A 24319-nucleotide genomic window follows, 5' to 3' on the forward strand; every position below is an offset into this window, starting at 1 on the left:
TCCCCAATACTATCATTCCAGACCAACTCTTCTCTCTCCTTTTCTAGTGTTAACATAGCCTCCTATACAACTTCCCTATTTCTAATCTTGCCCCACTCGCCACACAACAGCCATAGCAATCTAGTTAAAACTAAATCAGATCATGGAATTTCCTTGCTCAAAACATTCCAATGCTGCCTTTGTATTGAACAAAACTTAAATAAGGGAGTGGCTTGAAGGTTGTATACAGCCTGGCCCCTATCTCTCTGAACTCATTTGCAAGCATTTCCCCCTTTTATTCACTGTGCTCTTTTGTGTGTGTGTGTTTGTGCATGTGGGCATATATGTACATTTATGTATGTAAACATAATTAGTATTGTGTTTCATTGACAAACCATAATTTTATATAACTTTATGGGGCACAATGTGATATTTTTATATATGTATACAATATGGAATAATTAAATCAAGCTGATTAAGATATCTATCACCTCACTTATTTTTTGTTAGGAAACATTTGAAATTTATTCCCTCAGTTGTTTTGAAATATACATTATTATTGACTATAGTCAGCCTATTGTGCAATAGATTGCAAAACTAATCCTCCTGTCTAACTGAAACTTTTTACCCTATGACCGGCAACTCCCCATTCCCTCCCTCTTCTCCCCACCTCCTCACCCAGCCTCTGGTAGCCATCATTCTACTCTCTACTTCTGTGAGTACAACTTTTTTAGATTCCGCATAAAAGTGAGATCATGCAGTATTTGCTTTTCTGTGCCTAGCTTATTTAACTTTGCACAATATTCTCCACGTTCATCCACATTGTCACAAATGACAAGATTTTCTTCTTTTTTAAGACTGAATAGTATTCCATTGTCTACATGTACCACATTTTCTTTATCTATTCATCTGTTGATGGACACAAGTTGATTCCACATCTTGGCTATTGTGGACAGCACTGCCATGAACATAGGAGTCCAGATATCCTTTGGACATATTGATTTCAATTCTTTTGGACTAATACCCAGAAGAGGGTTTGACTGACATATGATAGTTCTATTTTTAGTTTTTTGAGGAACTTCCATTCAGTTTCCCATAATGGCTGTGAGTCTGGAGTTTGTTCCTGCCGGTGGGTTCGTGGTCTCGCTGACTTCAAGAATGAAGCTGCAGACGTTCGTGGTAAGTGTTACAGCTTTTAAAGGTGACACGGACCCAAAGAGTGAGGAGCAGCAAGATTTATTGTGAACAGCGAAAAACAGAGCTTCCACAGCATGTAAAGGGACCCAAGAAGGTTGCCACTGCTGGCTGGGATGACCAGCTTTTATTCCCTTATTTGTCCCCTCCCATGTTCCATTTCTGTCATATCAGAGTGCCCTTTTTTCAATCCTCCCTGTGATTGGCTACTTTTAGGCTCCTGCTGATTGGTGCATTTTACAGAGCTCTGATTGGTGCATTTTACAGAGTGCTGATTGGTGCATTTTACAGAGTGCTGATTGGTGCATTTTACAACCCCCTTGCTATCTACAGAGCACTGATTGGTGCATTTTACAATCCTAGCTACAGAGTGCTGATTGGTGCATTTTACAATCCTCTTGTAAGACAGAAAATTCTCCAAGTCCCCAATCAACCCAAGAAGTCCAGCTGGCTTTACCTCTCAATCCCCCCTCTAAACAGGACACTCCAACTGCTGCTGGGAATTGGGCGATGACCACTCTAGCTACTTCCTGATGGATAGGGGTGAAGAAGGGGCCCTGCAATTGTAGTGTCCTCCAGAGGGGAACTCTCTAGGCCAGTCAAAGGGCCACTGGGTCAGTCCAGGGGTCCTCGGTAGAAGTTGTGAGTTGAGCTCATTTGGGGTTCCATTTGTAAGACCATCTGTAGCTTGATGGCCTCAATCCTGGAGGTAACAAATTTGACAAGCAGGTAAAAAATACAGGGCCTGAAGGCGAGTAATAGCAAAATGGCTGTCACAGGACCTAGAAAAGGGAGAAGCCATGTCACCCAACTCCAGAGGTTGGTATAAGAGTCTGAAAGGCATTGTCTGATTTCAGAAGCCTTTTCCTGTAAATGCCAGGCAGCGTCTCATACTCTCCCTGACTGGTTAGTGTAAAAACAACACTCTTCACCTAAAAAGGTGCAGAGTCCTCCTTTCTCAGCCATGAGGAAGTCTAGGCCTCAGCAGTTTTGGAGAGTCAAAGAGTCTGCTGCCAAAGAGTCTATTTGGGATTGTAGAGTAAGGATAGATTTAGTTATTTCTTGCAAACTGTCTGAGAAATCCTTTGAGAATGTGTGGTAGTAGGATAGCGAAGTGGACAAACCTGCTACTCTGGTTCCTGTAGTAGTGGCCATCCCTAAACCTATAAGTAGGGGTATTACTTGTATGGCCCTGCACTGACAGACTTGAGCTTTGAGGGGCACTGATAGGTTCTGATTTCCTGGGGCATTGTGAATGTTGGGACTTAGGAAGATTAAGGTACAAGTGCCTGTCCAGTTGGTGGGGAGGCAGATATAGGTTGAAGTTCCATGTAAGAAGAATATGCCTTGGCTGGGTAGACAGAACAGGTTGTGTATGTTGAAAAGGTGTGTGAGTTTGTTGTTTTCATTTTCCCATACTCCTAGAGTACTTGCCAAGGTAGCTCCAGAGCAGCTGAAAAGGGGTGTTGGGAGCAAATTGAGTGGCTCCCTGTGTTCTATTTTCCCATTGGAGAAAAAAACCATTTTGTATCTACTAGGAACCATTCAAGGGAGTGATTGAAAGAGGGGATGAGAAGGCATTCATTAGTGGTGGGAGCGCTGCTGCAGGGGGTCCAGGGTGAATGGTCATGCAGGGAGTATGTTTGCCATTAAAAAACCTGGACTGTTTATTAAGCAGGGAGGAGGTGATAATTTTTGGAGGCCCTGAGAAGAAGGCAAGCTGTCTGAATGGAGCTGTTTGGGTGACTCGGAAGTTACTATGATCAGATGGGGCTTGAAGTTGTAGAATGTAATTACACTGATGGGATAGTAGATGCCCCAGGGGCAGGCCTAATAACAGGTCGCATTGGATGCATAAAAGGGCTTGGAAAGTTAAGATGGTATTTGTAGTTGCAGGGCTGTGTATGGGCTTTTCATTGCTCATGTAATAGGTGAGGTTGGAAATGTAAGAGTGTAAAAGTTGGATTGTGCATCCTGTTAGGGTATTCTAGGTCCTATCAGAGATGGGGAAGTTGGCTAATGATTGCATATTTGGAATTTGGAAAGGGTCTTTTCCTTCATAAGAGGGATGGTAGGTTAAGTTGGTAAAGACCCAGTTTTTTGCAGGAACAGGAGTGGCAACGTAAGCATGCCTGATAGAGAGATGCAAAGCCAACAGTCATTTGCCAGGGAAGGACTGGACTGGTTTAACAGAGAGTGGGTTAAGTTTAGAGTCTTGTAGAGGTAACTAGGAGCTAGTGGAAGGGGAGGGGCAACTATGTGGGGTATCCAAGTAGGCAGGAGGGATAGATAGGCAAAGAGTAAGTAGGAAGGTAAAGAGGGTGCCCTGAAAGATGAGATCATTTTATCCAGTCTGAGTTAATGGTAGGAGTAAATTGCTGTCAGAAGGAAGGATGATAGAAGAAAGGTTGATGTGATTAGGATTTCATCCTGGAGCTACAGTATATAGTCCTACTGCAAAGAGTACAGCTAGTATCCTGGTTAATAATGTGATGAAACAGTAAAAGGATTCCATTAAAGGGGCAAGGAGAGGTGTTAAAGATTATGTAGGTTTTCACTTATCTTTTTTAAGTAGGAAGGGGTTTTTCTTCAGGATCGGCTGTAGGAGTCTTTTTAGTCTGGGATTTTTCTTTCCAAAATAGAAGACACAAGTCCTCCAATGGCTCACAGGTGTATCGAGGCTGGTCTGGCTGATAATGGGACTCCTGAGCTCTCGGTCCCGCAGGTTCTTCAGGGGGTGTCCAAAGCTTAAATCGGTGTGGTGAATCCAAGATTCCACTCCTGCCACCTTAACTGCAGTGGGGGTAGAGAGGATTACCGAGTATGGTCCTTCCCACAAAGAATCCATAGATAGGGAGATAGAGGGGAGGGATTCAAACAACACTAGATCTCCTGGTTGAAATAACACCGTTTCCTGTTCTCTGTGACATCCTTCACATAGGATTTAAGTTTTGTTGATATTTTGCCAAAGAAGTTATATCTTTGACCAAGTTGGCCATTTTCTGATCAAGTAGGAGGTCATTTGTGAGAAAAGGTCATCCATACAGCATTTCATGTGGACTGAACCCCATTTCTTGAGGAGAATTTCGGATTCTCAACAAGGCCATGGGGAAAAGAATAGGCCATGGGAGATGAGTTTCTTGAGTTAGTTTCCTTAGGTGCCTCTTGATGTTTCATTTGCCTTCTCAACCTTCCCTGAGGATTGTGGCCTCCAGGTGCAGTGAACGTGATATTGTATCCCTAGCACCCTGGAAATTCCCTGGGTTATTGTGGCTTTAAAAGCTGGACTGTTGTTGCTTCGTAAGCTTTAGGGAAGTTCAAATCTAGAAATTATTTCATAAATTAGGACTCTAACCACTTCCTGAGACTTCTCTGTCTTGCAGGGGAAGGCTTCTATCCAATTTGTAAAGGTATCAACACAGATCAACAAGTATTGAAATCCCCTTGACTTAGGCATATGGGTGAAGTCTAACTGCCAGTCCTCTCCGGGATAGTGCCCTATTCTTTGTTTTCCCAGAGGGGCCTTAAGATAGACCAAGGGATTATTCCTTTGACACCTCACAGGCTTTGACTACTTGTCGGATGGTCCAGAGGAGATTTGGCCCTGTAAACAGGGATTTAGCCATTTGATGAGTGTTCTCAATACCCATATGAATAGTTTGGTGGAGGGGCTTAAGTATTTTCCACTGGCTGACTTCGGGTATGAGTACCTTTCCCTCTTCTGTCATTAACCACCCTGAGGGGAGAAAACTATGCCCCCGTGAAAGTCCCCATTTTTTTTCAATTGGGGAATACTGGGGCTTAATCTCTTGGAGAGGGTTGTTCCATACCAAGTGTCCTTCCATAGGTATTTCTAATGGGAAGTTCTGCTTGGCAGCAATTTTGGCCTCAGCGTCTGCCCGATGGTTTCCTTCTGCCTTTTCTCCTTCACCTTTCTGATGGCTTTGGCAGTGTAAGACTGCTACCTCCTTGGGTTTTTGCACTGCATGCAATAACTCCATGATTTCCATGTGGTATTTAATGGGGGTTCCCCCAGAGGTTAGGAACTCCCTTTCTTTCCACATTGCAGCATGAGCATGTAGGATTAGATAAGCATACATGCTATCTGTATACACATTTATTCTTTTTCCCTTTCCCAGTTCTAAGGCTCAGGTAAGCACTACTAGTTCTGCTAACTGGGCACTGGTCCCTGGGGGAAGAGGCTTACTTTCAAGTACTGTTACATCACTAACTACGGCATAACCTGCCCTTTGTTTCCCATTCTCCACAAATGAACTTCCATCAATATATAGGTTAAAGTCAGGATTAACTAAGGGGACTTCTAAAAGATCCTCTCAGGTGGCATAAGTCTGGGCTACAATTTGTTGGCAGTCATGCTCGATTGGTTCCCCATCCTCTGGGAAAAAAGTGGCAGGGTTGAGGGCTGCACACATGCGTATTTGAAGCACTAGTCCCTCAAGGAGTAGTGCCTGGTATCTAAGCAGGCCATTGTCTGATAGCCATAAACTTCCTTTGGCACCTAGTATGCCATTTACGTCATGAGTAGTCCAGACAGTTAGATCCTTTCCTTGTATTATTTTGATAGCCTCTGATACTAAAATGGCCACCACTGCAACTACTCATAAACAGTGAGGCCAGCCTTTTGCTACTACATCAATTTCCTTACTTAAGGCCTGACCATCTCACTGTATCGGGGGATCTATAGTAGGCAAAAGCCAGTGATTCCAAGGAACCCCCACAAATGTTTTAATGTCTTAGGGCAAGGATAAGCCAGTATAGGCTGTATTCCTTCCTTGCTGAAGGCCCTGGCTCCTCTGGCTAAGATTATGCCTAGATATTTGACTTGTTGTAGGCAGAGCTGGGCCTTTGATTGAGACCTCTTGTACCCTTCATTAGCTAGAAAGTTCAAGAGATCTAGAGTAGCCTGCTGGTATGAGGCTTCTGAACTGGTAGACAAAAGTAAATCATCCACATACCGAAGCATCAGAATGCCTGGACTTGAGAAGTGGCCTAGATCTTAGGCCAGTGCCTGACCAAACGGATGAGGGCTATCCCTAAACCCTTGAGGCAAGACCGTCCATGTAAGTTTGGATGGGTGTTCTGCGGGATCCTCAAAGGCAAAGAGAAACTGGGAGTCAGAGTGCAAGACACTGCAGAAGAAGGTATCCTTGAGATCCAGAACAGTGAACCATTCTGCTTCCTCTGATATTTGAGAGGGCAGGGTATAGGGGTTGGGTACAGCTGGATATAGAGGAATTACTGCCTCATTGATGAGTCTAAGATCTTGCACTAGTCTCCACTGACCATTCAGTTTTTGTACTCCTAGAATTGGGGTGTTGCAGTGACTGTTGCATTTTCTTACTAAGACTTGAGCTTTTAAATGTCTAATAATATCCTGTAATCCTTTATAAGCTTCAGGCCTTAAGGGATATTGCCTTTGATAAGGAAAAGTGGTGGGGTCTTTTAGCCTGATTTGGACTGGGTGGACATTTTTTGCCCTTCAAAATTGTCCTTTCAATGCCCAGACTTCAGGGTTGATTCCCTCCTCAAATAGGGGACAACAAATGGGTATCTTGTCCCCCATATTCATGTAGATAATAGCTCCAGCTTTGGCTAATATGTCCCTCCCTAATAAGGGTGTGAGACTTTCAGGCATAACAAGAAAGGCATGTGAAAAGAGCAAAGTCTCCCAATTACAACTGAGGAGGTGGGAGAAACACCTGGTTACAGGCTGTCCCAGGATCCCTCAGATGGTAATGGACCTTGAAGACAGTCGTCCGGGGTAGGAGATTAACACTGAGAAGGCTGCACCAGTGTCCAGGAGGACATCAATTTCCTGGCCCTCAATGATTAAACATACACAGGGCTCAGTGAGGGTGATGACATGAGCTGGAGCTTGCCCTGGGCACCCTCAGTCATATTGTTGGATCATCTGGCCCACAGAACCTTTGTACTCTGCAGTGTGCCTTCCAGTGATTGCCTTGGCATAGTGGACTTGGGTGAGGGGGCAGCTCGTTTTTCATCGGACAATCTTTTTTAAGGTGTCCTTGCAAACCACACTGATAACCAGCCCTACCAAGTGATTGGCCTGCTCCATTTCTGTCCTCTCTGAACCACCATGGTTTGTTTGTCTGAGGGCCACGACTAAGGCTGTGGCCTTTCTCTGAACTCACTTTTCCTTTTCAGCCTGTTCCTCTTGGTCCCTGTTACAGAACACCGAGGTTGCCAGGTTTAATAATGCTTCCAGATTTTGTTCAGGGCCAGGGCTCTTTGAGGATCAATTGACCCTTGACAAAGTCGGGTGACAGGGAAGTTTATTTTCTTAAGGCCTCCCATAGCCACTCAAGGAAGGCAGAAGGATTTTCTTGCTTTCCCTGAGTTATGGTGGACATCACTGAATAATTCATGGGTTTTTTTTTCTAATTCTCCTTAGTCCTTCTAGGACACAAGTCAACAGATGTTTTTCACTCTAGTCCCCATGATCTGAGTCTAGGTCCCAGCTGGAATCCATACTGGGGACAACTTGCTAACTAGTAGGGAATTTGTCCCTTTCTTCAGCTGTCATTCTATCATTTACTTGACTAAGATACAAGGTATCTCCAAACTCGGGCTGGAGCTAAAGTCACATTCTTTTCATTAAAGGCCAGGGTTTGATCTAACAATAGCATGACATCTCTCCAAATGAGGCCGAAGGTTTTCCCTAGACCCTTTAGGACATCTGTATACCTATCAGGATAATCTGAAAATGTCCCCAGGTCTACCTTGATCTGCTTTAAATCAGAGAAGGAGAAGGGGACATGTACCTGGGTTGGGCCAAATTACCCTCCCCCTACAGCTTGAAGGGCACATAAGTGATAGCCTGGGGGGTTTTGTGATCCCTTGGAGATTTCTTTGCTTGTTCCCTTCTGGGTGGGGGAGATTAGAGGAAGTTTATCATTAATAGGATGGGGAGCTGTAGGGAGGCAAGGATATGGAAGTAAGCTGAGAGGTCCTCCTGTAGGATATAAATTGCAAGCTTTGCATAGTTGTGGATTCTCCTTCATAGTACCTAATTTATGCTTCCCTGAGGTGGCCATTTTTCCCCATCAGAGAATACTGGGGCCAGGCTGTAGTGCAGAAAAAAAATAAGCTGCTTATTTTTCAGGGTTTGTGGATCAAATTGATCCCAAAGGCTTAGGATGCATTTCAAGGGTGAGCCTGTTGATGCCTGAGTGTTTCCCATCTGAAAGAAAAAACTGCCTACAGTTTTGGTTTGCTTGTTTGTTTTTCCCCCTGCCCAAGAACCTGCAATGGTCCCTGGACCCTGCTGTTCGGAACAGTTGCACTCACTGAAGCAGCAGAGGAAACACTAGTTTTCCTCAGAGACCACAAAGAGGACCAAGGAATGTCGGATTTAGTGGCCCTTATCAATGCATTCTCGAAAATCTGCACCCTTGCCTTTCCTCTTAGGACACAAAGAGGACAAAGAAAAATCGGATTTAGTGGCCATTACCATTGCATTCTCAAAAACCTGTTAGAGTCCTAACAATTCTCCTGTTAGTAATGGGACCTTACCCTTGTCCTATGAAGATGATATGCCTCAAAATGGAGTGGAGGGCCATACCCTGAGGGAGGGAAGGGATAACTAAGGTTGGAAGAGTGAGGCCTTTTGTTCTCACTTCTCATCATATCAATGGGAAGGTTAAAATTTCTGAGGCTCTCAATATCCTAGCTTCAGGAATAGCCTTTGTTAGGCCTTCTGTAGGGGTGGGTTGCCCCTCTACACCTGTGGGTGTTTCTCGTAAGGTGGGATGAGAGATTTGGAAAAGAAAAAGACACAGAGACAAAGTATAGAGAAAGAAATAAGGGGACCCGGGGAACCAGCGTTCAGCATATGGAGGATCCCGCCAGCCTCTGAGTTCCCTTAGTATTTATTGATCATTTGTGGGTGTTTCTCGAAGAGGGGGATGTGTCAGGGTCACAAGACAATTGTGGGGAGAGGGTCAGCAGACAAACACATGAACAAAGGTCTTTGCATCATAGACAATGTAAAGGATTAAGTGCTGTGCTTTTAGATATGCATACACATAAACATCTCAATGCTTTACAAAGCAGCATTGCTGCCCGCAGGTCCCACCTCCAGCCCTAAGGCGGTTTTTCCCTATCTCAGTAGATGGACCATACAATCGGGTTTTATACGGAGACATTCCATTGCCCAGGGACAGGCAGGAGACAGATGCCTTCCTCTTGTCTCAACTGCAAGAGGCATTCCTTCCTCTTTTACTAATCCTCCTCAGCACAGACCCTTTACGGATGTCGGGCTGGGGGACGGTCAGGTCTTTCCCTTCCCATGAGGCCATATTTCAGACTATCACATGGGGAGAAACCTTGGACAATACCTGGCTTTCCTAGGCAGAGGTCCCTGCGGCCTTCTGCAGTTTTTGTGTCCCTGGGTACTTGAGATTAGGGAGTAGTGATGACTCTTAAGGAGCATGCTGCCTTCAAGCATCTGTTTAACAAAGCACATCTTGCACCGCCCTTAATCCATTCAACTCTGAGTTGACACAGCACATGTTTCAGAGAGCACGGGGTTGGGGGTAAGGTCACAGAATCTCAAGGCAGAAGAATTTTTCTTAGTACATAACAAAATGGAGTCTCCTATGTCTACTTCTTTCTACACAGACACAGTAACAATCTGATCTCTCTTGCTTTTCCCCACACCTTCTAGTCTAAGGAGAGATCCTGAAATTCCAGATAGTCCCCCACCAACGGGGTTTTGGGCAAAAATTACGTCCTTTAGATTGGTGAGCCCAGGTGCCTAAAGAAGGGAACAGAGTCCCAAAATTTATACTAGAAATCATTCTTATAGGAGAAACTAGAAGAGCACCAGGGACAGGGAGTGGTTTTTTAGAAGTGGGACTAGCCTCTGAGAAGAGAGGTGGGAGGAATTTTGTCTGACAGGCATTAGGACCCAGGAGGCAAGAGTCAGGGTAGATAGGAAAGATGGGTGAGTCTCACTTAGACAACGTAACTTTGAGAGTTCTGCTCATGGCTGCAGGGTCAACTAACTTTTTGTTGGGACCCTGGAGCTGAATGGCTTTCCTCTCTGTTGACCCTTGGCTCAGCCCAGAAGTGCAGGAAAAGTGGAAGCTGGTTCCACACAAACCAACGCTTCTGACTCCAAAGAGTTAAAGGTTGTTAGAGAGCCCTTTCCCAGAAAGCCTGACACCCGTGTCTTTAGTCCGGCAGCTGACAGGTGCCTAGTGTTTAGCCCTTGAATTCTAAAGAAAAATAGGACAGAATAGCAAGTGAAAGCATATCACTGTGTGGTGATATCGTGGACAAGACCCCAAGATGACAATGCTGCCCTGGGGAGTGACAGACATCTGGCAACCTGCTCAGGTTCCCTTCCACACTGTGGAAGCTTTGTTCTTTCACTCTTCACAATAAATCTTGCTGCTGCTCACTCTTTGGGTCCGTGCCATCTTTAAGAGCTGTAACACTCACCACAAAGGTCTGTGGCTCCATTCTTGAAGTTAACAAGACCATGAACCCACCAGAAGGAACCAACTCCAGACACAGCTGTACTAATTTACATTCCCACCAAGATTGTCTCTTTTCTCCACATCCTTGGTAACACTTGTCTTTCATCTTCTTGATAAAAGTCATTCTCATTGGTGTGAGGCAATATCTCATTCTGGTTTTAATTTGAATTTCCCCAAATGATTAGTGATGCTGAGCATTTTTTCACAAACCTGCCAGCCATTTGTATGTCTTCTTTTGAAAAGTGTCTGTTCAAGTCCTTTGCCCATTGTTAAATCAGGCTATTTGTTTTCTTCCTATTGAGTTGTTTGAGTTCTTCACATATTTTGGATATTAACCCCTTATCAGATGTATGATTTGTAAATATTTTTCCCACTCTGTGGGCTGTCTCTTCAGTTTTATTAATTGTTTCTTTTTTTTTTTTTTTTTTTTTTTTTGAGACGGAGTCTCGCTCTGTCGCCCAGGCTGGAGTGCAGTGGCGGGATCTCGGCTCACTGCAAGCTCCGCCTCCCGGGTTCACGCCATTCTCCTGCCTCAGCCTCCCAAGTAGCTGGGACTACAGGCGCCCACCACCATGCCCAGCTAATTTTTTTTTTTTTTTTTTTTTTTAAGTAGAGATGGGGTTTCACTGTGTTAGCCAGGATGGTCTCGATCTCCTGACCTCATGATCCGCCCTCCTCGGCCTCCCAAAGTGCTGGGATTACAGGCGTGAGCCACCGCGCCCGGCCTAATTGTTTCTTTTGCTGTGCAGAAGTTTGATGTAATCTCTTGTCTATCTTTGCTTTCATTGCCTGTGCTTTTGGATCCATATCCAAAAATCATTACCCAGACAATGTTGCAGAGCTTTTCCCATATGTTTTCTTCTAGTAGTTTTATAGTTTCAGGTCTCAAAGTGTGGATGTCAATGGATAAAGCTGTGCTTCACCAAGCAATCTCTTGTTCTTTGATCAGGAAGAGAGCAGTGCGATGATGCAGGCACCCTAGGGACTCCAATTTTAACAAAGGAGATTTCCAGTTTTGGGGTATAGTATTGGCTGAGATTCAGGCTTCCCTGGTCTAGCATCATTGGTATGAGCTGAGGTATTTGTTTCCAGCAGTGGCAGTGGTGTGGACACCTCCTCCACAAGGGGATTTTGAGCCTGAATCTTTGGCCGTCCTTGGAATTCCATGCACTTCCTAAGATCCTTATTAAATTTCTTTTCTGTTTAACCTAGTAAGGGTGGATTCTGTGTTTTCAGCTAAGAACACAGGTGACATATGGATCATCTGAGCTATGAAATGGTTTAGGTCAGTATCCTTGACCTATACAAGCCCCTCATCAGTAACCAACATAGTGGTCTTTCACCAACATATGTCTTTCACCTCCTTGGTTAGATAGATTCCTAGGTATTTTATTTTTTTAAACTATTATAAAAGTGTTTGAGTTTATTTGATTCTCAGCTTGGTTGCTGTTGGTGTATAGCAGAGCTACTGATTTGTATACATTAATTTTGTATTCTGAAACTTTGCTGAATTCATTAATCAGCTCTAGGAGCTGTTGGGAGTAGTCTTTAGAGTTTTCTAGGAATATGATCATATCATCAGCAAACAGCGACAGTTTAACTTCCTCTTTATCAACTCAGATGCCCTTATTTCTTTCTCTTGTCTTATTACTCTGGCTAGGATTTCCAGTACTATGTTGAATAGAAATGGTGAGAGTGGGCATCTTTGGTTCCAGTTCTCAGGGGAAATGGTTTCAACTTTTCCCCATTCAGTGTAATTTTGGCTGTGGGTTTGTCATAGATGGCTTTTATTACCTTAAGGTATGTACCTTTGATGTAGGTTTTGCTGAGGGTTTTAACCATAAAGGGATGCTAGATAATGTCAAATGCTTTTTCTGCATCTATTGAGATGATCATGTAATTTTTGTTTTTAATTCTGTTTATGTGGTGTATCACATTTATTGACTTGCATATGTTAAACCATCCCTGTATCCCTGGTATGAAACCCACTTGATCATGGTGGATTATCTTTCTGATATGCTGTTGGATTCAGTTAGCTAGTATTTTGTTAAGGATTTTTGCATCTATGTTCATCAGTGATATTGGTCTGTTATTTTCTTTTTTGTCATGTTTTTTCCTGGTTTTGGTATTAAGGTGATCCTGGCTTCATAGAATTATTTAGGAAGGATTCTTTCTCTGTCTTGTGGAATAGTGTCAATAAGATTGGTATCAATGGTTCTTTGGATACCTGTCAGAATTCAGCTGTGAATCTGCCTGGTCCTGAACTTTTTTTTTGTTGGCAATTTTTAAAATTACCATTTCAGTATTGCTGCTTGTTATAGGTCTGTTCAGAGTTTCTATTTCTTCCTGGTTTAATACAGGAGAGTTGTATATTTCCAGGAATTTATCCATCTCCTCTAGGTTTTCTAGTTTATGTGCATAAAGGTGTTCATAGTAGTCTTGAATCATCTTTTGTATTTCTGTGGCATCAGTTATAATAGCTCCCATTTCATTTCTAATTACATTTATTTGGATCTTCTCTCTTCTTTTCTTGGTTAATCTTGCTAATGGTCTATCAATTTTATTTATCTTTTCCAAGAACCAGATTTTTGTTTCATTTGCCTTTGGTATTTTTTTTGTTTCAATTTTATTTAGTTCTGCTCTGATCTTTATTATTTATTTTCTTCTGCTGGGTTTGGGTTTGGTTTGTTCTTGCTTCTCTTGTTCCTTAAGGTATGACCTTAGATTGCCTATTTGTGCTCTTTCAGACTTTCCTCTCAGCACCACCTTTGTGGTATCCCAGAGGTTTTGATAGGTTGTGCTTCCATTATCATTCAATTAAAAGAATTTGTTAATTTCCATCTTGATTTCATTGTTGATCCAATGATCATTCAAGAGCAGGTTATTTAATTTCCATGTATTTGCATGGTTTTGAGGTTTCTTTTTGGAGTTCATTTCCAGTTGTATTCCACTGTGATCTGAGTGAGGACTTGATATAATTTCAATTTTCTTAAATGTATTGAGACTTGTTTTGTGGCCTACCATATGGTCTATCTTGGAGAATGTTCCATGTGCTGATGAATAGAATGTGTATTCTGCAGTTGTTGGGTAGAATGTTCTGTAAATATCTGTTAAGTCCATTTGTTCTAGGGTATATTTAAATTCATTGTTTCTTTGTGTTGACTTCTGTCTTGATTACCTATCTAGTGTTGTCAGAGTATTAAAGTCCCCCACTATTATTGTGTTGCTGTCTATCTTATTTCTTAGGTCTAGTGGTAATTGTTTTATAAATGTGGCAGCTCCAGTATTAGGTGTATGTATATTTAGGATTGCGATATTTTCCTGTTGGGCAAGTTCATTTATCATTATATATAATGCCCTTCTTTGTTTTTTCTAACTGCTGTTGCTTTAAAGTTTGTTTTTATCTGATATAAGAATAGCTATTCCTCCTCACTTTTGGTGTCCATTTGCATGGAATATCTTTTTCCATCCCTTTTCCTTAAGTTTATGTGAGTCCTTATGTGTTAGGTGAGTCTTGTAAAGACAGCAGATACTTGGTTAGTGAATTCTTATCCATTCTGCCATTCTGTACCTTTTAAGTGCAGCATTTAGGCCATTTATATTCAATGTTCATATTGAGATGTGAGGTACTATTCTATTCATCATGCCATTTTTGCCTGAATACCTTGGGTTTTTTAAAATTTATTATATTTTTGTTTTATTGGTCCTGTGAGATTTATGCTTTAAGGAGTTTCTATTCTGGTGTGTTTTGAAGATTAGTTTCAAGATTTAGAGCTCCTTTTAGCAGTTGTGGTAGTGCTGGCTTGGTAGAGGCAAATTCTCTCAGCATTTGTTTGTCTGAAGAAGACTTTATCTTTCCTTCATTTATGAAGCATAGTTTTGCTGGATACAAAATTTTTGGCTGATAATTATTTTGTTTAAGGAGGCTAAAGATAGGACCCCAATCCCTCCTAGCTTGTAGAGTTATTGCTGAGAAATCTTCTGTTAATCTCATAGGTTTTCCTTTGTAGATTACCTGATGCTTTTGCCTCACAGTTCTTAAGATTCTTTACTTTGTCTTGACTTTACATAACTTGATGACTATGTGCCTAGGTAATGATCTTTTGTGATAAATTTCCCAGGTGTCCTTTGAGCTTCTTGTATTTGGAAGTCTAGATCTCTAGCAAGGCTGGAGAGGTTTCCCTCAATTATTATCTCAAATATATTTTCCAAACTTTTAGATTTATCTTCTTCCTTGGAAACATCAATTATTCTTAGGTTTCATCATTTAACATAATCCCAAACTTCTTGGAGGCTTTGTTCATTTTCTTTTATTCTTTTTTCTTTATCTTTGTTGGATTGAGTTAATTTGAAAGCCTTGTCTTTGAGCTCTGAAGTTCTTTCTTCTACTTATTTGATTCTATTGCTGAGACTTTCTAGTGTATTTTGCATTTCTCTAAGTGTGTCCTTCATTTCCAGAAGTTGTGATTGTTTTTTAATTATGCTATTTCACTGAAGATTTTTCCCTTCATGTATTGTATTATTATTATTTTTTAGTTCCTTAACTGGGACTTCAAATTTCTCTGGTGCCTCCTTGATTAGCTTAATAATTGACCTTTTGAATTCTTTTTCTGGCGATTCAGAGATTTCTTCTTGGTTTGAATCTGTTGCTGGTGAGCTAGTGTGGTCTTTTGGGGGTGTTAATAAAACATTTTTGTCATATGTCCAGGATTGTTTTTCTGTTTTTTTTTTGTTTTGTTTTGTTTTGTTTTTCTCATTTGGGTAGACTATGTCAGAGGGAAGAGCTGGGGCTCAAGAGTTGCTGTCAGACTCTTTTCATCCCACAGGGTTCTCCCTTGATATGGTGCTCTCCCCCTTCCTGTAGAGATATAGCTCCCTGAGAGCTGAACTATAGTGATTGTTATTTCTCCCCTGGATCTAGCCACCCAGTGGGGCTACCAGCCTTCTGGCTCTTATGAGGGGCTGTCTGCACAGGGCCCTGTGAATCATCTTCAGGTCTCTCAGCCACTGATATCAGCATCTGTTCTGATGGAGGTGGTAGGGGAGTAAAGTGGACTCTGTGAGGGTCCTTGGTTGTAGATTTGTTTATTGAATTAGTTTTGTGTTGGTTGGGCTCCAGCCAGGAGATGGTGTTTTCAAGAAAGCATCAGCTGCAGTAGTATAGAAAGGATCAGGTGGTGGGTGGGATCATAGAGCTCCCAAGAGATTATGTCCTTTGTCTTTGGCTACCAGGGCAGGTAGAGAAAGACCATCAGGTGTGGGCAGGGTTAAGCATGTCTGTCTGAGCTCAGACTCTCTTTGTTCAGGGCTTGCTGCAGCTGCTGTGAGGGATGGGGTTGTTATTCTCAGGCCAATGGATTTATGTTTCCAGGGAGATTATGGCTGCCTCTGCTGCATCATGCAAGTCACCAGGCAAGTGGGGGAAAGCCAGCAGTTAGTTGCAGTCCTCACGCAGCTCCCATGCAGCCCAAAAGGCTGGTCTCACTCTCACCATGCCCCCTAGTAACACCAAGTTTATTTCCAGGCAGCTGGTAAGCAGGGCTGGGAACTTACCCCAGGCTGCCAGCCTCCTTGCTGAGAAAGCAAGTAGGGCTTTCAGGTTTTGTGCCTCCCTGCCTGTGGCAGTTTCTGTGCTGAGTCTGCACTCCAATTTCCGCCTCCCCCAGGGTTCTGTTCAGGAAAACTTCACATTCAGTCAAAATTGTTATGCACTTCAGCTAGAAGTTTCCTTCTCCCTGTAGTCTTTTCCCAGTTCCTCTGGCAGCCCTCCCCAAGGACCCCTGTGAGATAAAGTTAGAAATGGCTTCCCTGGGGACTGAGAGCACCCACAGTGCTCTTCCCGCTGTTTCTTCTACCCCTATATTTCACTTGGCTCTCTAAATTTGTCTCAGTACCAGGTAAGGTCAAATTCCTCTTCCACGATTTGGACCTTCAGGTTCCCCAGTGAAGGTGCATGTTTGGGGGCAGAAGAACTCCATTGCAAACTTTGGGCACTCACAGTTCTTCAGGTGTCTCTTGGAGCATGCAGTGGCAACCCACTTCCTTCAAAGGGTCCGTGGATTCACTTGGCTTTCCTGGTATGTTCCTGCAGTAGTTCTTGGAGCAAAAGTTCATGATGTGAGTCTCCATATGCTGCTCTGTCCATCCAAGTGGGAGCTGCAAGTTAGTCCTGCCTCCTATCTGCCTTTTTTTCCAACCCTGCCATTGGTCTTTCTTAACAGCAGGAGAGGCTCCCTTCATCCTCTGCCTTTTATATTTTTTGTGGTGCTTATTAGCCCTTGTTACAGTTACCTAGCTCAAGGCTTATTGTAGTTTCTTTCATTCTTATTTTCCCTTTCTGTCTGCATTCCTTTAGCTTTCATTGACCACCTACTCTGTGCCAGACACTAAAGACATATTAGAAAAGAATTATACATAATTCTTTTCTAATTATGACACAAATTCTTTATGTCTAATTAGACATAAAGAAAATATATTATACTCCCTTCCAAAGAACTGACAGAATTCTCAAATGACCAGCAAGCAAGCAACAACTAAAAGGCTGTATGATGTTAAGTCATCTACAGCAAAGTAAAATAATGCAATAACTAAATGCATAGGCTTTGGAGTCAGAATCACCTACACACAGATTCAGGCTCTGAGGCTAGCTGGTGATTTTTACTAAATTATTTAATCCCTTAAGCTTCAATTTCCCCATCTATAAAATAAGGTTAATAATGAGTTATGCATAGGGTGGTTGTGAACATGAAATAAAATAGTGTACACTAAGTACTTAATAGAGTGCCCAATTTTTTGTAATATTCAATAAATATTATTGCTAAAAACAAGTTTGTCTGAGGATGTCAGGAAATCCCTCACAGAGGGAAAATAACATTATTACTTAAAGGAAGCATTCTTAATCTAAGCAGGCAGATGCACCTGTGCATTTTGTTTCTTAGTCAACAATTATTCATTTTAAAAGACTGTTTCTTGAAACATCCTGGGATGAGGAGTATCCTGTTTTGATTCTTCTATTTTGCAAACAGAGAAAATGTCAGAAGCTAATCAGCTCATCCAAGTGCATACCAGTTTTGTTATTTAACCAGTAAAGGCTTTCTGTGAGAAAAGATTATGCAGTTAATCTACATTAAATACTTACTCTGTACAAAGCCTTGTGGGGGATATAGAAATGTAAAACCACTAAGAGACACCATGTGATGTCACTGGGAGTTAATGTTGATTCCAAGATGAGCACTCCACAAAGGCAGAAAAGTTGAAACTGTCATTCTGTATGCCAGACTACAGTGATAGGTATAAAGAAGAGATCATGGTCAAGAGGAATGATCAGAAAAGACTGTCACAAAGGAAGTGAACTTGAAAAGCTGGGCTTAAAAAAAGAATGGAATTTAGACAATGGGTAGAGAAGGGTATGGGGAGTGTATTAGGAAAAACAGAATTTGAGCAAAGGGCATGGTAGTGAAGACACACAACACTCAGGAGAAATCAAGCCGGCAAATTCTCTTTGTGCAGTTAAGAGGTCAAATGACTTTCCCAAGATCACACAATTATTTAGGACTAGGATGGGGTCTTCTAATTTGCAGTTTGACTTGTTCTGCCATGTGCAAGATTTATAACTGATGATTGGGTGTTGCAAGAAGGGCAACATTTCATCATCCTCAAAGAAATGAGACAAAAAGACTGTCTCTAAGGCTTATTGGATGCAGATGTGGTTGCCTTAAAATTCCAGCAGACTCGTGTTTACCTTCTGTGGCTGAGCAGGACCATCCTGTAGGAAGGCTGCTACTGCCGACCTGGTACTCCCACCACATCCTGACACTCAGACTCTGAGTATGTAGCTTTATGGGAATATCCAAGGCCATAGGACTTCCTCAGGACAGCCCTGGCACATGGCCCAGAAAGGTGTTTGGGCCACATAGTCTATCATGGCTCTTCAGAGGGACAGCAGTGCAGGGAGCATTTCTGGACTTTATTTCCCTGGATTGAACAAAATTTGTGAGTTTCCAGTTAGAGTTAGCTCTTCTTAGTGTTGTCCTTTTTTTTTTTTTTTTTTTTTTTTTTTTGAGATGGAGTTTCGCTCCTGTTGCCCAGGCTGGAGGGCAATGGTGTAATGGTATACTCTTGGCTTACTGCAACCTCTGCCTCCCAAGTTCAAGCGATTCTCCTGCCTCAGCCTCCCAAGTAGCTGGGATTACAGGCGCCTGCCACCACACTCAGCTAATTTTTGTATTTTTAGTAGAGACAGGGTTTTACCACATTGGCCAGGCTGGTCTTGAACTCCTGACCTCAGGTGATCCACCCACCTTGGCCTCCCAAAGTGCTGGGATTACAGGCGTGAGCCGCCATGCCCAGCTGTGTTGTCCTTCTTGATAAGCAGTGCCATTTAGAAGATTATATGCTGGAGAAAGAAGATCTGGGTTCAAGTCCTTTTCTAGCTTTGTGATTTGGAACAAGTTGATTATGATATCTTGTTACCATGAGATTGGTTATGCCAATCTCCTTATTTTATGGGTTAAAAAAACCCCAGAAGCTCAGAAGAGTTTAATAACCTGTTCAAAGTTATATGATATGTTAAATATATAAATCTCCATTGAATAATATCACCTCTATCTTCCTTACAAAGCTTTTATGAGGCTCAAATAAGAAAATAAATATGAATATTCACCACAGTACTTGACATGGATGCTAGGAACCCTTAATGTTCCCTTTTCCCAGTAGTAAAGCAGTAGTAATCAGTCACACACACACACATGCACACACACACAGACACCCCACATATACAGCATAGTGCGTAACACACATACATATAAGATTTATTTAAAACGACCTTGAGAAGAAAATTATTAACTCTGGGTCAGATGTGTTTATAAGCCCATTTCTGGGACCACATTCTGGGCTCTACCATATTGTATCTTGGGGTCATGGCTCTCTCACAACTGGAGAGAGGTGCTCCAAGCATCAATTCATAAAAGCTGTTACTAGCACACTATCTCTATCCTGTTTTTTTTAAAATAATACTATCTACCTTGCCTTTTATGAGGTGCAGAGCCTAGCACAAATGTGTCTAATCAGGCTGATCAAAACAAGGGGAATTGCACTGGTATTTGGGCCTGGGGTGCACAGCAAAAGGTCAAAGACTTACACGACCAGGAAAGCTTGTGACTTGGTTATTCCACTTATGATGTGGTTTTTATATAAATGGCCTGCATTCATTTAAGGACAAACATAAGACAGCCCTTCTCCTAGCTTCAGAATAGACTGAAAGTGGAGGAGAAGAGCAGAGAGAAATTTTGTTTTTTTTTTTGGTTTGGTTTTAGGAAATAATTTACAATATTTATATTCTAGGAATTGCCCTAGAGAAATTAGAATTTTTTAATTAAAAAATTTATTTTCCTCTTAGCTTCTTGCAATGTCCACATTATACGGTGCATTAAAGCTATAAGGTCTTATTCCTATTTCAGCAATTCTCAATCAGATAATCTCAGAATGCTTGTTAAAACACAGATCTGTGGGCTTTGATCCAGATCAACTGATTTATAATTACTTGTATAAGTAAGTCAAATAAGTTCTTGGTGAAATTCTCATGTCCACTAGAATTTAGAAACCACTGCACACTCCCTTCTAGCATCTGAAATCACTTCTATTTTTATAGATAAAATAGCCTGCTTTTCAAACTCTTCCATATTTGTAGCTTTGGGTTTCTAGATCTCTTTTAAGCTCACCAAGATCTAGTATTCAGCCTAGTACTCAGCCAGCGAAATTAGATGGAGTAGAATGGAAATTCTACTTGTGCTTCCCATAATAAAGCTTCACTCTTCCCTCTTCCTGCTTCAACTTTCTCCACAAACACACAGCAGTTAAATATACATATTTTTAAAGTTCTATTCTTATGCACCACAGAGCTTAAGAAACACTGCTCCCCTTGTGGTAGGTGCTGGACCAGCCAATGTTTTTGATTAGTAGGTGAGGCACATGAGGAGTTTGTGGTGAATGCATCAGTGGGAGGAAGAAAGGCATGAAATGAAGAATCGACATGATTGTGGTGCCTGGAGCCAGAGAGTTAGCTGCTGGTTCCAGCTCTGGTATTAACTGAGGGTGTGATCTGAGGTGAGTCATGCCTCTCTTTGGGCCACAGGGTGCCTTAGGGCTAGGCAGAATTCTTTAAGGCAGAGCTTCCTAGCTTATATGTAGTATCACACTGGTGTGCCACAAACGGATTATAGGTGTGCTATGAATTACTGCGTTCCTCAGCTCTCAGAATGTGCCTCTAGCCAAGAGAAGCCTCATCAGAGTCTTCTTGGGGACTGGTCTGAGCAGTGTAGGAGTCCAAGGACCACCCTCATAGTCCCTAGAGGAGGCAGTGGGCACCATGAGTCACATTTACCATGCATTTCTCCACTATAATGCCCTGAATGCACACAGCCAAGAAGGTAGGTGTTCTACTGCATGGGCATCTCAGCAGCCATCCATCCTAGCAGTTAGCACCGCAGACCATTCTAGGTAAGGCCTGAGGATCAGTAGGTAGTTTGTGTCCAGCTGCCCAGAAGCTTAGAGCTTAGCCCAAGATGTGGCCAGTGGGGATGAGTGAGTGCAGAAACATGGTGGGGATTTCTGGTCTGCCCAGCAACACGTGATAGCCCAGAATCTGTTTTCACATATATCAGATACTCCTGTTCATCTTCAGCAGATGGACAAAAAAGTCCATTTAGTGGTTTCCATGCTAGCTGTAGGGCAACTGCTCTTACAATGCATATGCAATATACAAATTAGACCTTCGTTATTATTTTGGAATGCTAGATAGCATAAAAGTCTGAATTTAAAGTACCTTTGCTCTATCATAAAAAATTAAACATTAACTTGTCAGTATAAGAAAAGGATAAGCTATTAGGTTCTTTAATTTCAAATGTTGCAAATCTTCAAATAGTTGTAAACAATGGTTTTAATTTTTTAAATTATCTTATTGTGGGAATGAAGGTTCTTGTTGATACACACCACTAGGAATTTGAAACAATCATCATTAAGAAGTCTTACTCAGAGTTTTGCATAGCTATTTTGAATATGGTATCTGTTGGTAAAAAGATATGTCAATGGTAATAAGTTCAAATTTCTAATTTTTTAAAATTATTTTATTTGGAACCTTTATATAAATTTAATATTTGATATTTTTCTAAACATCTTGTATTTTATTTTTCCTATAAGGATATAAATATAAAGAGTGACAATTTTTTTCACTGAACTTTGTTGAGCTATTCCCAGATCACCCTCCAGGTTTTGTAGAGAAAACATTTGTACAAAACAAAAAGTTTTTCTATGTGTGGAAGATGTGACAAAGATTGCCTACAGTGTTTTAGGGCAGTGGTTCTCAACTGGGGATGATTTTGCTTCCCAAAGGGCATTTGACAATATTTGAAGACATCTTCTGTTTGTCACCATTGGGGAGCTACTTATGGTGTTTAACAGGCAGAGGCCAGGAATGCTGCTAAATACCCTACAATGCACAGGAAAATTCTCCATAAAAAGAATTATCAGACCCAAAATGTCAATAGTGCCAAAGATAGAAACTGTGTTCTAGAGCCTGTCTCATTCTTATATCCTGATTCAGAATTATAAATGTTCTCATAGTGGTTGGCAATAACGGATGTGGCCAGAAATGGCCAGCTCTAATCTCCTAACTGCATCTATAATAGCAGACCCTGTAGGCAAGCAAAATGTGGGGCAGGACTTCCTATAGGCCTCCTTGAGATGGTATGCATTTCAAAGCAGCAGTTGTGTAACTTTTATGGCTACAAAGTTAGTACACCCAGGTGAGCATCTTCTTCTCCCATTTTATTTTTTTTAAATATCATATTCTAGAAATGACATTTTTGTTCCATTGGATTGTGACTCATGTTATTTTTCAACAACGCCCCTTCCTCTAGCCCCAACTCTGGATCTCACCATGACTAGCCTGGCTGGGATGGGTGGCCCAAAAGGCAGAGATTTGCACTGAAAATCTTTTCAAATCATTCCCTTCTCCTTCCCGTTCGAATTCGAAAGGGGAATTCAAATTCCTTCAAATTTATTTCGGAGTCGAAGTCATCCTATTGTTTGGCATTAATGTGCTACTTCTAAGACTAAACAAATCTTCCATATCCTTCCTCTCTGATGCACTCATCCTCTTGGTTGTTTTGTTTTGTTTTTTAACACGTCAGGATGATTCAAGTGACTAGGGATTAAACCAGTCTGGACAGCCATACTCCTTTATCAATACGACTCCTACCACTCCTTCAGTCAATTTTTACAACAGGTTCACATCTACCATCTGGTACCAAGAGCAGGTTTAATGGAGCATCAGACACTTTTATTTGTCCTAGGACTTAACAGAGGATTGGCAATTCTATTAATAAATGTACCTGGATAGAAGAAAGATCAATAGATCTAGGGTCTTTGTTATATAAAATTAAGCAAGTTATTCAGTCATTAGAGCCTCATTTTGCTCATATAAAAGAGTAGTAGTGACGAGAGGGCTGCTGATTTTTCCCCAACTTAAAATGAAAGAAAAAGCACTGAGAAATTTTGAAAAGCATGTCAGTATTAGGAAATGCACACTTTCATGGTATTGACTCATTGTTAATGTATCATTTATACTGAAATGAGGAAGTTGGGTTTTACAGTTGGAATCAGGAACTAGTTTACATCCTTTGCAGGGTTTAGAGGCCCTGGAAGATTATGGTCATCAGCGTGACCTGGATAGCGCTTTAATGCTGGCAAAAACAAACCATCAATTTATTTAAGAAATACATATTAGAAACCTAGTATGCTCTTTGTAAACAAATAGTACAAAGTTTTTTTTCTATTTTGCAGAGGAGAAAGCTGAAGCACCAGATGGTTAAAAGGACTGTTCAAGACAGCCTTGCAATTTTGACCAAGGAAGAAAGCTGAAGAGTGCTAGGGCAAGAGAGGAACTACGTCCAGAACAATTCATAATTCCAAATTCTCACTTCCATGATTTCAATGCTGAATGTGTACTTCTCTAGCTAAAAATACAATTGCTTAAGTAAAATCATCATTATTTACAGTCTTGCTGAATTGTGGTGTTGTTATTAACCAGAAACAACAGCTTAAGTCATTGTGTTTTGAAATACTTGATTTATTATCCTGATTGTTTGAAAATGCTACCTGAAATTTTTCCTGGCACTTTTGAGTCATTCTCACCAGGTACACACATCTGGTGTTTCTCCATGACACAGTAGCTGTTCCCCCTTTAATTTCTTTCTTCTTCCTAACAGACACTGGAGTTATAATATCAAACTTCCATTCATGATGAATATTTGAACTACCATGGAGACTGAGAGTCCAGGGAAGAAAATATGTCCTGTTGATATGTATCTCAATGCATCTTCCTTTCTATCTTCTTCCTGGGGCAGCCTCACATATAATTCAGTTAGGAACCCCCTAAATCCTGATCCATGTTGGGAGCCCTCTGAAACTTCAATGTGCATTAAACTCTCAAAACTTCCCAGTCTCTGAAGTTCCTCAATTGTTCAGCATTCCCTACTTGAAAGGCAGAGGACCACATCCTCAGGTCTCCTTTAATTGCATTTACCTGAGACTTGAATTCACTAATTAGGTATGTGGGTGTTTAG

General features: G+C 41.6%; 1 long non-coding RNA gene across 1 annotated transcript; it reads left to right on the forward strand.

The window, feature by feature from the left end:
- Window positions 1-636: 636 nt before the first annotated feature.
- Window positions 637-23751, forward strand: LOC105378776 (uncharacterized). Its single transcript, XR_947467.2, has 3 exons — window positions 637-694; window positions 1046-1158; window positions 23538-23751. It is a non-coding gene; the product is annotated as an uncharacterized LOC105378776 (long non-coding RNA).
- The last annotated feature ends 568 nt before the right edge of the window (window positions 23752-24319 follow it).

The sequence above is a fragment of the Homo sapiens genome, chromosome 1, assembly GCF_000001405.40.
Source record: "Homo sapiens chromosome 1, GRCh38.p14 Primary Assembly".
Taxonomy (NCBI): domain Eukaryota; kingdom Metazoa; phylum Chordata; class Mammalia; order Primates; family Hominidae; genus Homo; species Homo sapiens.